Source organism: Homo sapiens, chromosome 1 (genome assembly GCF_000001405.40).
Source record: "Homo sapiens chromosome 1, GRCh38.p14 Primary Assembly".
NCBI classification, from domain to species: domain Eukaryota; kingdom Metazoa; phylum Chordata; class Mammalia; order Primates; family Hominidae; genus Homo; species Homo sapiens.
This window is the reverse complement of record NC_000001.11, coordinates 47,017,088-47,034,269: the sequence shown is the minus strand read 5'-3', so window position 1 is coordinate 47,034,269 and position 17,182 is coordinate 47,017,088. Positions and strand designations below refer to the sequence as shown.

Below are 17,182 nucleotides of genomic sequence, written 5' to 3'. Positions count from 1 at the left end.
GCAACTTTAATACACACATTCTCTTTTGCTTGGTCCTTTATAGCCACTGGGCAAGTCCATGCCAATCTCCAAACCTTTGTTCATGCTCCCTCACTCTGCCTCGAATACTCTCATCCATATTACCTACATATTCAAGTCCAGCTTATGTTTCATGGCAAATTTGAGTTTCCTCTGAATCTGAAGCTGTTATAGCTGCTCCTGCCATCCTTACCTGTCACCTTGTGAAGTTAACGCAACTCCATACTGGAAGCTAATCTGCCATCTTGACTTCCAATTAACTCTAGTTCCAGGAATGCTCTGAGATTTCCAGTTTATCTATTGTTCCTTGTGTAAGAGCATGTACTTACCATAAATCTTGCCCTTAGGGCAAGTTCTTACTATTAATAATTTCCTCTGAAGCATGTATGCCCCTCCCCATGGTCTATAATTCCTGGGTCTGGAGGGTAATGGCACAGGGATCCACCATCTTGTCTCACAACTGTGTGAAACAGCCATGGTTTTTGTTTGAAAGCCTCTATTGAATGTTTCTTTTTAAGAAACTGTCAGCCTTTTTCTTCAGCCTCTCAGTTTCCTCAGACTTTGGGGTAGGTTTGTACAGACCCGCCCTCCATGAAACACATCTACAGCACTTACTATCTAACTATCACCATTTGGTACTTGGTTTGCTGCCATAAAATCTCAAAATATATCTAAGACAGAGGACCAGATCTTTTTATTAATATTATCACTCAAAGAACATAACAAATTTTTTACAGACACCTATTGTTCAATAAGTACGTGTACATTGGTTAAATTTTTAGAAACTGATTTTTTATTTTCATGGCCCACAAAACACATACCTAATACTGTCCATTGCTGGGAGCATTTCGCAATGCACAGAGCACTTTCCCCCTTTACTTACCAGCATCATTTTCACAGAATGAGCCATCACCTCAATGTATGCTTTCAGGATGTTAAAATGGAATCCAGGAGTTAGTAGGCGACGATGCTGGAACCACTTGGGTCCGTCTAGAGCCGCTAGTCCTTTTCCTTGAGAAATAAAAGGCAGAAAACCTTATGCCATTTAATTAGATGAGATGAAGGATAGATGAGGAACACAGGCAGCGTGGAGTAACCATGACCCACAGGCAGTCATGCAACAGTGGAGTATCAAAGTAGTACTCGTATTAATGTGCAATGCAATTTAATAGATGAAGGTGAATTTAGAAGCTTACCTCTGGGATGGATGTATTTAATATTGTGAGAAACAGTTTCAAAGTCTAATAAATTTCAAAGCCTTATAAGATTAGCACGCTAATCCTGAAATCACCAGTTACTACCTATGTAGTAACTGAATAAGTGACTCAATCTTCCTGAGGTTTACTTTTCTCAATAATGAACTATGATACTAAATACCTTTTTCCCTGTGTTGCTGTGGAGGTTAACTGAAAGTGAATACATAAGGTAGCCAACCTACTCCCTAGCTCACACTAGTAACAGAGCAAGTGAATTCCTTTCCACTCCAAACCAATCCATAAACTATATGATGAACATAAATTCACAAGGAAAGAGACAAGAGTGTCCACTCTGTCCCCTGATATTTCCTCCTTGAGCCCAGGTCTATGAATGATACTATGTGGAAATACTTACCAAGGCTAATGCTTCACAATCTTCTATTGCCAGACTGGTCATTAGGATTTGGCTTTAAAAGGACTTTAAAGTTTATTAATACATAATTGATACCATTCATTGAATGCTTACAACATTCCAGGCTCATGATGCATGATCTGTCACTCATACAATGGTGGCCATTACATGTAGTGCTAAAAATATGTATTTCATTTAATCCTCATAACAGCCCAGCAATGTGAGTCTCATCCTTATTGTCAAAGATGAGGAAACTGAGATAGGGAGAGATTAAATGACTTCCCCAAGATCATATTTAACTAGTCAATGCAGGAGGGGGCAAGATTCAAATTTAAGTGGTTCCTAATACAAGCCTATATTCTTTTCTTTCATTCATGTCTTGTTTAACATAAATACCAATTATGTAATTAAAGAGCTTAGTTTATCTGCTGACAGAATATTGCCAAACTCTAGAGCAAAATTTTACTGACTCGCATGTGGAAATAAAGGAACTCCAAAAAGAAAGGAAAACATCCAAGAAAACGAGAGAAGGATAAAGAAAACAAGAATAGGGATGGTGAGACTGCAGTTTGGGTAGTTTTTTTTTTGTTGTTGGGGGCTGCGGACAGAGTTTTGCTCTGTCACCTAGTCTGGAGTGCAGTGGCACAATCTGAGCTCACGGCAACCTCCACCTCCTAGGTTCAAGCGATTCTCATGTCTCAGCCTCCCAAGTAGTGGGACTACAGGCCTACATGCTACCATGCCTGGCTAATTTTTGTATTTTTAGTAGAGATGGGATTTCACCATGTTGGCCCAGCTGGTCTTGAAATCTTGACCTCAAGTGATCCTCCCACCTTGGCCTCCCAAAGTGCTGGGATTACATGCATGAGTCACTGTGCCTGGCCAAGGCTGTAGTTTTAAAGAGAGAGGGGACAGATTCATGTATCTGCTGCCTTGAGAATAAGACTTTGTGGGAGAGAAACGGATGAAGAAGCTTTCTGGGAAGTGGTGGTGTGTTGACCTTAGAGCTCCCCTTCAATCTTTCCCCTAGATAACGTTCAGTATAGCTCTACCTTGCACTCTTTGTGCTTTTGAATTCAGATTTCAGTTTCTTTGGCATGCTCTACTATGGAAAGGGGACTTTGAATGAGAGTGGGTTATACCTCTCATTTGCACATACATACCAAGAAGTGGAGGTGAGAATTTCTGCAGGTACTGGGACTTGGGATCTGCAGAGTCAAGCAGAGGAAACAAAAGACATCATTAGAGGGAGCATTCATTATCAGTTCAAGTTGGTGACGGTTTTCTGCATTTCTGCACCAACCACAAAAAGTGAGAAAAAGAGAGCCCAGGGCTTACTTCCTGCTGCCTTTGGCAGCCTGGGGAAAGACTTGTGTTAGTCTTGGCTCAGTTTCAGAGAACAGCAAGCCCTATGAGGCAGACAAGTACAGAAACCCTGATTATTCCCTTGTTTACACTTCCTCCAACAAGAACAGAGTTTGCCTGAGGGTTGCAAAGTTTCCATAACCGTAGTTGGGACAACATATATCCTTTACAGAAGGAAAATTAACGATCAGAGCAGAGGTCAGTAGACACCATGTATTGAGGTGTCAATGCCTCTTGGTGTTTTTGTGAACCCCAAAGTGGAGGTGTTCTACTGTTCTTGTCCTTAACAGGTGAACATGACTAGCTGGCATTACCAGACTTGCCAGGCAAGGCTTCCCTTGGCCTCTGTGGGTTTTATGACTTCAGTGTCAGCAACACTTCCCACTCCTACCCCTGGTCTCGAGCATAAGTCTCATGACACAAATCAGAGCAGGGGGACTGGAAACATGGAGATAGTCAGGGCAAGGCTCTTTCTTTCATTAGGTTTTATTAGGAGTGGTGGATACAATGCACAGGGAAGACTGGAATATAAAAACCTTCCTTTTACAAAGTTGACAGGGCAAAAACTGGACATTTTAGTATTATGCTATGAAATAATCCACAATGAAAGCCTTAAAAAAGGATTGGGTGGGGAAGTAGATGACTCATACCTGAAAAGGGGACATAGTTGAGAAATATGTGGAGAGGAAAGCTAAAATTTGGATCACTATCAAGAGGTCTGATGGGTAAATTAATGATCTAGCATTCAGGCTTTCATACTGAACCAGCAGAGGTAGAGTTACTGCTGATTTCCCACCCTCTTGAGACTTATGCTCGAGACCAGGGGTAGGAGTGGGAAGTGTTGCTGACACTGAAGTCATAAAACCCACAGAGGCCAAGGGAAGCCTTGCCTGGCAAGTCTGGTAATGCCAGCTAGGCTTTAAGTTATACCGACTTCAACGTGCCCATGCATACCTGAACAAGACAAGGGACTGGGGAGGATATGGGAATCCCCTTCAGTATTGGTAGGAAACCTGTCACCTCCCCATACTTGCTGCTGTGTCTCTTAAAGGCCCCAAACCAATCTTTGCTTTGGAATCTTGCCTATGGGTTTTATGCATTTCACTTCTAGGAGGAATAGGTCCCAGAGCTTTCCCCCTCTTCTTACCTGTTCTGCTCAGAAGTGTCTTTGCATAGTCTGGGTCATAGATACAGAAAAATGCCTGAAAGGGCCCAATCCAGAAAGGGAAGGCACGAGGGTATTTTTCAATAATTTCCTCAAGCTTCTCCATGTTATCATCCTGAATAAACTGCAGTGAAAAAAGTAAAAGTAATTAGCCAGCCAAGCTGGACCTGTCCCCTCTTATAGACACAAGCTGAGTTCAGGACCTGATAAGGTCACACAAGCAGAGGAGCCTGAGACTTTTCTGGAAGTGACATAACATGCTTTCTTTGGGACTTCTAAGCTTGGGGGATAATTCTCTAAACAAAGTTAGTGTATTTATCTTCTCAATATTAATATATCCTGTACCCCCAGACCAAGTCACTGTTGAATGACATTTACTGTGAACTCTTGTCCCAATAGAGGGTGAGCCGAGTCACACTCTCTGCCTCACTTGCCAACATCACACACTCAGATTGGAGTGGGATCTGGAAGCTAAAAAGAAGTATTTCCTATGTGGGAAACTAACAGTTACTAAATGGGGCATGACCCTACATCCAGCTCACCATTTCTTCTTCCTGTTCCTCTCTCTAATTATGCACCAGTGATTATTTCTCATGACTTAGCAGTAAATGCTTCTCTCTAAAAAATTGCCAACTCTATCTATAAAGAAAATCCAAATTCTCCCCCCAACAACAGAAGGTCCATTTACACAGATGTGTGAATCTTAAAGCAAACTCAAATACAAAACTTTCAGCTTCCAACATTTACAAATGAGAGTGCAAATACTACCACCAGAGAAGGAGTTTTTGCTTTTAGAAGCAGATGAGTAATGGCTCACTTAAATTGTTTCTCTAAATCACTGAAAACAAGATTCATTTACATTTGCTTCTTGTGTAAAGTGGAGGGCACCTGCATGTGTGTGTTTTGGTGTGCCCATCTACACACTTGAGCATGATGGTGGGAGTCCCCCGCTGCAAAGTAATCTTAAGGCTGCCAGATTTTTCCTCGTGTGACCAATCACACGGTATCTGCTGCAGGATTGTTTGCTCTCATCCTCTGGAGAGGTGGACAACTCTGGCTCCCATTTTTCTCTGTTATCATTTAGCAATTTTAACCCATAAAGTGTTCTCTGGATAGTTCAAGGCCACTGAAAGGTTGAGAGTCTTGAAACCTAGTTTCTAAAATACTGCACTTTTTTGTTAATGTTGCCATAATCAAGCCAGTGATAAGCACCCACTGACTATCCAGAGTAGTGGTTTTCAACAATGTGAATATTTTTTCATTTATTCATTTACAAACAATAAACACACAAGTATTTATTGTCTATCACACGTACCAGGTGGTAGAGATACAGAGAAATATAAGGAAGACAAGGCCTTTGCCCTCATGAATATTGTAAACTAATATGACAATTGTTTGTTTAGGTAAAAAATTTTCATAAACACCCCAGCCATATGAAAGTATTTCATTATACTTTTTGTAACTCCTGACTAGACAAAAAGGACAGAAAACTGTTGTGAATACTGTACTATATTTAATTTATATTTCTTCATCCCCAGAGAAGCATCTAAATACACTTGAAAACGGGTACTACATATATTTAGTAAACATTGTTCAGAAATGTTCAGAAAATGCATAGTGCCCCCAAATAGCAACAGCGAACATTTATCAAGCACTGCTATGAACTAGGTGCTGCTAAATGCTTTCCATGTTCTATGTTATTTAATATTTACATCAAGAACCCTATGAAGTAGATATGATTACAATCCCTACTTTAGAGATGAGGAAATTGAGCCCTACAGACTAGGTTAAATGATCTGCCCAAGTGTGTACAGCTGGCAACCACTAATGAGGATTCAAACTCCAGTTTAACTCTGGAGCCCAAGTGCTTTATACTACTTAGCTACATAGATGTTCTCTGCAGTACATCCAAGTACACATGCAGATGCACACACACATACACACACACACTTGCATATGTACATCCTAGGTCCCATATGTTGGCTATTGAATAAATGTCAAACCACCTGGCCTATTCTATGCAGTAAATTGATCTTTGAATAAATAAATTTTCTCAGCACCTAATATATTTATGCATTCAACAAAGGATTTATTGAGCACCTATTATGCACCAGGAACTGTACCATGCACTAGGTTTATAGTGGCAAACAAAGATCCTACCTCTCACAGATTTTATATTGTAGTTAGTGGTGGATAATAAATGAACAAGCAAAAGAGTATACAGTATAGTGTCAGAGAGTGATAAGGGCCAAGATAATAATAATAGGGTTGGAGATAGAGAGTACTAGAGGTGCTATTTTAGTCTGAATGGTCAGGGCAAGCCTCTTTTAGGAATAATTTGCAGGGAGAGCAATATAACCACAGACGTGCATGTTCAAAGCTCCAAGGGAGGAATATCCTTGGCATGTTTGAAGACCTGTATTACTAAGAGTAAGGAATGAAATTCTTATCTTGTAGGGAATTTTCCCTATACACACTTTATCCTTCTGTAACCTTATGACTATACTTAAAATGTTACTGTCTTTAGATAGAAGGAATAAGTTCCAGTGTTCAATAGCACTGTTAACAATAATGTATTGAATATTTCTGAAGAGCTTGAAGAGACTTGAAATGTTCCAAACACAAATAAATAATAAATGTTAGAAGTGATGAATACCCTAAACACCCTGATTTGATCACTGCACATTGTATGCACGTATCAAAATATCACAGGTACTCCATAAATATGTAGTTATTATGTAGCAATAAAATGTTACTGCCTATGTAAAACAGTATCACCTTTTGAGCCTTAGATACTAGATTTCCCTGCATGGTGAATCACCAAAAGGATCCTGATCTGATAAATGGGGAGGGTTGGTAATATTAGACAGTTTGACATGTCCGTCATCTCTGATCTGCAAAATTCTGATAGAAACCTCTCAAAAACAGAAAAAAAAAAACTTAGTGACAGTCAAGAGGGAATGTGGACTCTAAAACACTATGAATGCAATAAATAGTCTGAAATGAAATTAAAAAGAACAAAACAAATAAATTTAACAAAAGAAATGCAAGATGTATACTTTGAAAAATACAAAAACATCGTTAAAAAAAATTAAAGAAAGCCGGGAGTGGTGGCTCACGCCTGTAATCCCAGCACTTTGGGAGGGTGAGGCGGGTGGATCACGAGGTCAGGAGTTCGAGACTAGCCTGGCCAATATGGTGAAACCCCGTCTCTACTGAAAATACAAAAATTAGTTGGTGTGGTGGCATGTGCCTGTAGTCCCAGCTGCTTGGGAGGCTGAGGCAGGAGAATCGCTTGAATCCGAGAGGCGGAGGTTGCAGTGAGCCGAGATTGCGTCACTGCACTCCAGCCTGGGCGACAGAGCAGGACTCTGTCTCAAAAAACAAAAAAAAACAACAAAAAAAATTAAAGATGACCTAACTAAACGGAAAGGCTTTCTGTGTTCATGGATCAGAAGACCTAATATTCTTAAGATGGCAATAATCCCCAAACTGATCTACAGATTCAGTGCAATCCCAAGCAGAACCCTAGCTGGTTTCCTTGTAGAAATTGATAGGCTGAGTCTAAAATTTGTATAGAAACTCAAGGATTCCAAACAGCCAAAATAATCTTGGAAAATACCAAAGTGCGGGGGACTCATACTTCCTGATTTCAAAGCTTACTACAAAGCAACAGTAAGGCAGTGTGGTACTAGCATAAGGATAGCTATATAATTTATTTATTTATAATTTTTAATATTTGTGGATACATAGTAGGTGTATATATTTATGGAGTAAATGAGATGTTTTTGATACAGGCATGCAATGTGAAATAGGCACATCATGAAGAATGGGGTACCCATCCCCTCAAGCATTTATCCATTGAGTTGCAAACAATCCTATTACACTCTTTATTTAAAAGTGTACAGTTATTATTGACTATAGCCACCCTGCTATGCTATCAAATAGTAGGTGTTATTCATTCTTTCTATTTTTTTTGTACCCATTAACCTTCCCTACCTCCTCCCCCAGCTCCCCTCTATCCTTCCCAGCCTTTGGTAACCATCCTTCTACTCTCTGTGTCCATGAGTTAGGATAGACATATAGATCAATGGATTAGAATTGAAGACTCAGAAATAGACCTTGACATTTATGGTCAATTGATTTTTGACAAGGATGCCAAAACAATTCAATTAAAACAACAGACGACATAGTATTCATGAGACAGTAGAGATACATAACACAGGATAGCATCAATGGGGAGTCCTAGAACAATATCTGCATACCAAGCTTAAAGAACAACCAGTCCAGACTGGAACAGGAGGAGAGGTCTGTGGCAAAAATATCTCCAAAAAAACGAACAGATTTGGCATGTTTGCATATTTGGAAATATTATTTAGATGTGTTTGACAGATCTATTAGAGGATTTGGAAAAAAATAGTGACAAATATTGAAAAATGAAGCAGATTAGAAAAGGAAGAAGTTAACAATACTGTGGGGGTGGGGAAAAGTTCTATGAGAAAAGAAATAAAATGAAAGAGGACCATTTAGATCAGCAGTAAATAACATTTGCATAATAAAAATAATACAAATAGAAGTTTTTCTATTTAAAAAATACAATACTATATAGTTACTGGGACAGTGGAATATGAAGTGTAAGTGATTGCCTGTCATAAAGAAGTTCATAGGTGGATGTTGTCTTAGTACATTTGTGTTGCTGTAAAGGAATACCTGAGGCTGGGTCATTCACAAAGAGGATTATTTGGGTTACAATTCTGCAGGCTGTACAAGAAGCATGGCATTGGCATCTGCATCTGCGGAGGATCTCAGACGGCTTCCACTCATAGTGGAAGTGAACAGGAGCAGTTGTGTGCAGAGACCACATGGTGAGAGACAGGAAGAGAGAGGGGAGGAGGTGGCAGGCTCTTTTCAACAATCAGTTCTGGGGGTTGAAGAGGGACTAAGAGAGTGAGAACTTATGAAGGAGACAGCTGCACCAAGACATTCATGAGGGATCCATCCCAATGACCCAAAGATCTCCCATCAGATCCCACCTCCAACATTGGGAATCAAATTTCAACATGAGGCTTGGTGGGGACGAACAAACCATATCTAAACCACAGCAGATGTCTAAACTTATTAAATTAATAGATGCAATATGGTAATACTATTTTACAAATAAGTATTTAAATACCAGAAGAAACCGATAAAAGAGTTGAAAGTGGTTGCTTTATATAAGAAAGACTAGAAAGTGGGGAAACCAAAGGATCGTGTAGTAGCTCTGCTGGAATGCCTTCCCCACACCACCCAACCATCCTTTAAGACTCTGCTCAGCCCTTCACAGACTTTCCTTCCTTCTCTAGGCGGAGATGTATACTTTCCTCCGACAGATATTCCCTTGTCTCTAGGCCTCTAGTAAAGCACCCATTGCCTTAAATTTTCATTTTCTCTCTGTGGCCTAAGTCTGCACCTGACTTGGGTGGTGCAGGGGAGGGACTTAGCTTCTCTTTGTAATCTTAGTACCTATCACACAATTGCCACTCAGAGTCGGTTGAATGAATAAAAACCTTAATTAGGGGTGGGAGTGGATTTAAAAAACGGGAGAGACCAAAAGCTAACAGTCTCCCTTTACAAATTTCCATCAATCAGTATTTCTCGAGTGGCTGGCTGGGGCTGCTCCTTACTTCACAAGAATCTTAGGAAAAGAAAATTTTCTCTTGTTAAAATGGACTAAGGGTGCCAACGATTGGGATAGATTTTGCATATTTTCTGCAACTAATAAGTTATTTAGAATAACATGCTATTTTTAAAGCAACACATGTGGAAGGCTTGGTGAAGCAATGAGAGACAGACTTGAGTTACAGCTCGCTTTCTTTTTCCATATTCAGGTTCTTTAAATAGCTCTCTCCCAGCCCCCAAAGCTTCCTCTTTTGTGACCTTTCCCTGTGGGGCTGCGGGAAAGCAATTCTCCAGAGCAAGGAAAAATGATGCTAAGAGCCACAGGCCGGGCTGGAAAGGCCAGTGCAAGCCGGAGGGTCCCCAGGGATGGAAGAAAGCTGCGTCTCTCTGCCGGCTGGGCTCCTCTGCCGCATCCTCCTCCGCCCCTCCCTCCTCCTTCCTCCCTCCTCCCTCCCATCTACCTTCTGGTGCCCAAGGAACCAGTGGGTGGGGGGCGCTGGGAAGGGGCGCAGGTCCCGCAGCAGCCGCTGCCTCCGCAGGTACAGCTTAATGGCCTGCAGCAGCCCCAGGGCCAGGCAGAACACGAACGCCAGGTAAAAGGGCCGCGCCCAGCGCGTCTCCAGCCAGGAGAATTCCATGGCTCTGCGCAGCGCCGAACGCCGGCGGTTTCCTGGGGCGCGGGAGAGGGTGGGCTTTCTCCCGCCCGGAGCTGGCGTAGGGTCGCCCACCCCACCGCCTCTCTGGGCCCTCGCGAAGCTTCTGACTCGCGGGAAGAAGGAAAGGCAGTGGGAGGGGCAGCTCAGGCCTGGGGAGAGGAGGCAGGCGCGCGTGCGGGATTTCTAGCCGGTTACCAAAGCGCGCACGCTTCGTTCGGCCCAACTGCTTTTGCGCTCCTGGAGCGTCCTCTTTTAAGTCCAACAGTTTTCAGTCACGGGATCTGAATTTATATTGTAAAATAATGCTAAAGCTGAGGTCATTGTTTTTCTTCCTTATCACAAATTATAAATGGCTATGCAAGAGATTTTCTTTTCCATTCTGGCATTCTACCAAAATTCCCAGGTGGTAGAGGTAGGGGGAGGTGTACCATCATTATTCCTTTATCCTGTGGCCTGCCTAGTGGTGTTCCGGTAAATGGTTTACAACTGATTCCCACCCTGATTCCCAGCGTGTACCATGAGCTAGTTCAAGCTGCCGATACGAGGGCACTGAACACTGAACGGGGAAGATATGCACAGTAGCGTACCATCATATAGTAATTCCACTATACAGGTACAGTCAGGGCCTGCTATATAATTTATGAATCTCAGTGCAAAATGAAAATGCGGGATAAAAACTTTATTAACAATTCTAAGATGACAGACCATTAAACCGAGCATATGCTCTTCTGGGTTCAGAGCCTCGTGTGGCTGCTTGGGTCTCATGCCCATGAAGGGCTGACTCTAGATGCCAGAAACATAAATAAACTCGAGTACAGATAACAGGAAAATGTAGTAAAAATAATTTGAAAGTGATGGTTTTAGTATTTGTAACGTATCAGGTGGTGAACTAGGATCTAACAAGCCTGACTTCCCAAGCTGGTGTCTCCCCCCACCTCCCTGTCCCAGCAATCTTTATAGGCATTGCCCACATTTCATTCATTTATTTATTCATTCATTTATTCATTGATTTAGGCTAAGACAGGCATATGTTAAGTGTTCATTGACAGCTCTGAACAATAAACCCAATTTCTGCTACAATTCCCTGTTCTCCCTATCACTGTCCCTCCCCCACCTTCCCCGCCCTTCCGCCCCCAATTCCTTAAGCCTACGCTCCACTCTCTGGAGCCAGATTTTATTTGGCGGGTAAGTGATTAAGACAGGCTCCAGGGGGCCGGGCGCGGTGGCTCACGCCTGTAATCCCAGCAATTTGGGAGGCCGAGGCGGGCGGATCACGAGGTCAAGGGATCAAGACCATCCTGGCCAAGATGGTGAAACCCCATCTCTACTAACAGTACTAAAATTAGCTGGGCGTGGTGGCGCGCGCCTGTAATCCCAGCTACTCAGGAGGCTGAGGCAGGAGAATCGCTTGAACCCGAGAGGCAAAGATTGCAGTGAGCCGAGATCGCGCCACTGCACTCCAGCCTGGTGACAGAGTGAGACTCCGTCTCAAAAAAAAAAAAAAAAAAAAAAAAAAGACAGGCCCCAGGGGTGGTGACTTCATCTGGACCAAGTTCGTCCTGGCCCCTTGCATGTTCCATTAAGCCACACACAGCAAGTGTTTCAGCTCCTTCTTTCCCAGACTTCCCTACCTCCTACCTAACTCCAACCTTCAACTAGATGTTGTTATTTGACAGGGTCTCAGAATCCTCTGGCTTACACAGCTTCTTCTGGGTAACTCATGGCATTTCAGCTTTTCATATGATTCCTCTATGCCCTATTCCTCCCCCAAATCATGATGGTTGTATGATGGCCCTCATATGATCGCATGGTGGTAGGGCCAAAGACCTCAGATCCATGCTCTGCCCCAGAGCTGAAACTTCAGCTTTGTGATATCTTGCCTGGTCCGGTCCCTGGGTTCTTCATGAGACCGAGGAATAGTATGTGTGGTTGGTGACCTTCTAATGAGTTCTCTTGGCAGGGTCAGAGCCTGGGAACCCCTTGGCTCACCTACTCCCACCCAGGTTCTTGCTGGTGGTGTGACTCCCTCTGAGGCTTGGACAGTTCTATGCAGTTACTCCTCTGCTCCAGGGCCAGTTGCCCCTGTCCAGCACCGTTCCATGTGCTTTCATGGGTAACAAAGGAACTCTGGAACTTTTTGCACTATATTTAGGAGCCTAAGAGAGGCTGGAAGGTGTTGAAGAGGCTTGAAGTTCAGGCCTTCTCTGCTTCACTGCCATTTTCACTCTGGTTTCTCCAAAAAAAGATGCAAGGTAAAATCCCCTGTGCTCTCAACTTTCCTTTCACTCTATCTAAACCCCAATCCCAGGATTTTAGCCTAGAGGGGGATAATTAGATACTCTCTTGACCACCCGACCTCTGCCACTTTTTGCCTCAGTCCACCAGGCTGCAAGAGGTGGGTTTTCCCCACAACCTCCATTTCATGTGGTAGAAAATATCCTTATGTTATTGCTTGTGTTTTTGCTATCCCTGGTGGAGAATAAAGTTCTGTAATCTACTCCAACAGGGCAGGCTAATGGGAGAGAAAGGAATTTAGAAAATTATTTATTCTGGCCAAAGACTGGCTTTTGATACTTGCTACAACTCAAAAATATGATTCTGGAGGCCAAAAACAGAGCAGCGCCTCCTTCCTTTTTTTTTTTTTTTTTTTTTTTTTTGGCATTCCTGCACAAATATCTACTGAATTGAATTTTCTTGGCTACAGTACAGGGAATTGGAGATACCAAAAAAAATCCCATCAACCTGGATAGTGGTGCCTCTAGATGGAAATAAGCCCCATGAGACTCCCAGAAGGAGGCCTGTGCCTCTCCCAATGCTCATCTGATGGCTCCTTCCATCTCAGACACAAGAGACAAGAAATGAAGGCCAATGAGTAGCTGCTTCAATCCTACACACAGCCCAAAGAAAAGCATACATTTGTCTACAAACAGGGCAGTGCAAGGTAACTAACCTTTGACCGAAATTATAATAATTCAGTATGGCAATCTATATTTTTGATCCATTAAGATGTGGAAGTCTATTATTACTTAATAATAAATGAATTTTAAGAACATGGAACCATGGGGATAAAAGTCTAGAATTTTGTGGAGCTGTATCCCAGGATAGCATTGCAGCCCACCAATGTGGGATTCCAGAGATTCACTGCTCTCTGATTTGCTCATGTGCTCAGTTAGTAAACATGGGTTGAACATTTACTGTGTCCCAGGCCCCTGTGCTGGGCACATGCTGGGAGCTCAATGCACTGGGGAGACAAGGGTCGCTTAAGTACTTTTAAGGTAGCTATCACAGAAAGTGATGCTGATATCCTTGCCAGACAAAGGAGCCAGTAATGAAATCCGTCCAGGCTAGTGGGGATGCAGGTGAGAAGAAAATGTGAAAAAAGTTTTGTAGCTGAGGAGATGCTTTTATCCATTCATTCACTTACTGAGTGAATATTTATTGAGAAGTGATCATGTGCCATGTATTGCCCTGAGCACTGGAGATGTGGCCTTGAACAAAATCAACATGGCCCTGCCTTCATGTGGCTTAGGGTGTAGTGGAGCTGTGTCTTAAAATGTCAGAATGTGTCTTCTATGTGGACGAAGTAGGAAAGGGCATTCTACATGGTGGAAAAGTGCATGAACAGAGCATAAAATGGCCTGAGCTAACTGGACTGTGGGAGCTCTTTAGCATGGCTAGAGCTTCAAGTCTCAGAGAGAAGGATGGGTGCTAAGACCACCTATAGGGTGAAAGTCAGACCATGAGAGCTTGGTAGGCCCAGTTAAGAAATTCAGGCTTTACTTAAGGCCATGGGAATCCACTGAAAAGATTTAAGGTGGAAAATGACATAGTTAAGTAGTAGATTATTCTGAAAGCTACTTGAAATATAATAAGGACAGCTAAATAGTTTTTGTATCCTCACTAAGTGCCAAGTACAATTCTAAAGTGATTTATATGTACTCAGTTATTTCTTCCTCATAATAATCAAGGTAGATGTTACCATTATTTCATACCTGTATGAAAACTGAGGCACAGATTATGCAATTTGTCCAAGGACATCAGAGAGTAAAAAATGGTGTCAGACAGTCTAACTCTAGGTCCTGAGACCTTAACATTTATGAGAATAAATTGGGATGGGGAAGGTAGTGGTAAGACTAGAACTAGGGAGATCAGTTCTGATGCTATTGCAATATTCAGATAAGATATGATGGTGGCCCAGACTGGGGTGTTGCAGTGGTGTGGCAGGCCAGGTCTCACTAATACAGGCCTCCATAACAACTGTTTCAGCATTGGCTGAATGGTTAAGTTAAATATTAGAAATTGATAGAGCCAGTGCCCTTATACAAAGGCTGGAATGTAACAAAAGTCCAGCAAGAGTTTTGCCTAGGCCTTTCCTGGGCTTTGAAGCATGACAAGATAATGAAGGAATTCTTATCAGGACCCGTTTAGGATTAAACAAGTTTTATTGGGAATCTGAAGAAACTCCCCAGACCTCCACAAACAAGTTTATTGGGGGTCTGAAGGAACTCCACAAACCTCCATGATTTAGCAGGAGACAAGATAAGGGTAATCACCGCAGCACCTGGGCCCATTTAGATTAAGTAAATTTACTGAGGCTCCAGAGGAAGGTCTTCAGGACTCAGCTCTTAGTTATAGATTAAAAGAAGTTAATCACATATGTCTTTAGATGAGTGCACACTTACACATAGACATATAGCTTAGAAGGTATATAATCTCTGAAAAAACTTTGTAATTTTGAGTTTGGTGATATTCTCCAGGCTTTCTTCCTGTAACCAGTTACAGAAATAAAAGCTCTCTTCCTCCCCAGTTCATCTGCATCTCATTATTGGGCTGCAAGAATAAGCAGCCTGACCCTCGGTTTGGTCTGAACAAATTTGGTGAGGCAGCCAGGAGCCACTGGGATGGAGCTGTTTTCAATGGTCAGCGGCTTGTATTTTCTACAGTTTGGATTGAATTCTGATTTTTCTGGCTACAAGTCTCCAAGATAATGTTTTCAATTTTTTTCTTTTTTCCCCGTTTTTCCTAATTGGAACTCACTGAAACCTAAACCATGCTTTATTAAAGCCCTGCAAACTGAAGACTAGACAACTTAAACTTCAGAAGAAAACAGCAGCAACCTATTTATATGTGCTGCTGTTACATATTGTTATGTTTCAGCAGGTGTTGCCTCTAAGCCCCTGAAACAGAGAGTACTACTGGGAACAGGTCAACCTCTTCCACTCCAGCGCTGCATTCGGTGCCCCATAATGGTGACTCCCTCTCATCAGGATGTAGCCAGAAAGATCACTACACCCCATCTCACTAAAATTCTCATGATGACTAAATATACAAGCATGACAGAAATCATGCAGAAATTGACAGTGGAGATTGTGGCAGGTCAGGTCTCACTAACATAGGCTTCTGTAACAACTGTTTCAGCACTGACTGAATGGTTAAGTTACATATTAAAAACTGATAGAGCCAGTACTCTTAAACAAAGGCTGGAACGTAACAAAAGCCCACCAAGAGTTTTATAGAAGGTCCATAAGCTCTGAAAAATCTTTGTAATTCTGAGTTTGTCTGGTGATATTTCCTAGGCCTTCTCCCTGTAACCAGTTACAGAAATAAAAACTCTCTTCCTCCCCAGTTCATCTTCATCTCATTATTGGGTCACAAGAATAAGCAGCCTGACCCTCAGTTTGGTCCAGGAACAGTGGTACAGGCAAGCAAGAATGAATGGGGGAGATATTGGGGTGTGTTTTTGATGGGAGTTGGTGACTGGATGTAGGCATAGTGGGAAAGTCTAGGACAATCCCTATGTTATGTGAACCCCCAAAATTTGAGACAGCTCTCAGTTAATTTAGAAAGTTTATTTTGCCAAGGTTGAGGATGCGCACCCATGACACAGCCTCAGGAGGCACTGATGACATGTGCCCAAGGTTGTCAGAGCACAGCTTGGTTTTATACATTTTAGTGAGACATGAGAGAGACATCAATCAACGTATCTAAAAATGAACATTGGTTCACTCTGGAAAGGTGGGACAACTTGCCAGAGGGAGGGGGCTTCTAGGTCACAGGTAGGTGAGAAACAAATGGTTGCATTCTTTTGAGTTTCTGATTAGCCTCTCCAAAGGGGGCAATTAGATATGCATTTATCTCACTGAGCAGAGGGACGACATTGAATAGAATGGGAGGCAGGTTTGCCCTAAACAGTTCACAGCTTGAATTTTCCCTTTAGCTTAGTGATTTGGGGGCCCAGCATATTTTCCTTTCATAGTTTCTCTTCACTGAGATAGAAAAGGCAAGAAGAATCTATCTTCCCCAATCCCACCCCCATCTCCACCCCCTGCCCTATGTGTCTTTTGCTCTTGTCAAAGTGTTCCTCAAAAAAAATTTGTTTCTCAAATATTTCTTTAACCACCAGCCTACAGGAATCTATTTCATGAACAATTAAAGCCTTGGTTTTTATGCCTCTCATTTGATATTTCATCCCTGTTTTCATTTGTCATTCATTCCACAATCAGAAATTCTAGGAGAATGGTTTGGAGATTCCTCAAAAAACTAAAAATAGAGCTACCATATGATCCAGCAATCCCACTGCAGGATATATACCACAAAGAAAGGAAATCAGTATATCAAAGAGATATCTGCACTCCCATGTTTGTTGCAGCACTGTTTGCAATAGCCAGAATTTGGAAGCAACCTAAGTGTCCATCAACAGATGAATGGATAA

General features: G+C 42.1%; 1 protein-coding gene and 1 long non-coding RNA gene across 6 annotated transcripts in view, besides 1 other annotated feature; one reads left to right on the top strand and one right to left on the bottom strand.

The window, feature by feature from the left end:
* The window catches only part of CYP4X1 (cytochrome P450 family 4 subfamily X member 1), a 94,069-nt gene that overhangs the window by 21,163 nt on the left and 55,724 nt on the right, over positions 1 to 17,182 (bottom strand). For 3 of the 5 annotated variants that reach the window (XM_017000973.3, NM_178033.2, XM_047417352.1), the window contains exons 1-4: positions 10,276 to 10,601; positions 4,139 to 4,280; positions 2,790 to 2,834; positions 902 to 1,029 (exon numbers count right to left, since the gene is read on the bottom strand). In XM_017000973.3, coding sequence (XP_016856462.1) covers positions 902 to 1,029; positions 2,790 to 2,834; positions 4,139 to 4,280; positions 10,276 to 10,452 — 492 coding nt within the window. In that variant the 5' untranslated portion in view covers positions 10,453 to 10,601. Of the gene's footprint in view, positions 1 to 901; positions 1,030 to 2,789; positions 2,835 to 4,138; positions 4,281 to 10,275; positions 10,602 to 17,182 lie in introns of those variants that run through there. The other 2 variants (NM_001320289.2, NM_001320290.2) reach the window with 1 other exon arrangement.
* Positions 9,807 to 10,307: an enhancer, noted in NCBI's record as "H3K4me1 hESC enhancer chr1:47489635-47490135 (GRCh37/hg19 assembly coordinates)". NCBI's record gives its function as "activates a minimal SCP1, AML or CMV promoter by ChIP-STARR-seq in naive H9 embryonic stem cells {active_cell/tissue: H9 hESC(naive)}" and the evidence as "EXISTENCE:reporter gene assay evidence [ECO:0000049][PMID:30033119]".
* LOC124904172 (uncharacterized) lies at positions 12,007 to 15,276 on the top strand. The gene is made up of 2 exons (XR_007066062.1): positions 12,007 to 12,722; positions 13,175 to 15,276. It is a non-coding gene; the product is annotated as an uncharacterized LOC124904172 (long non-coding RNA).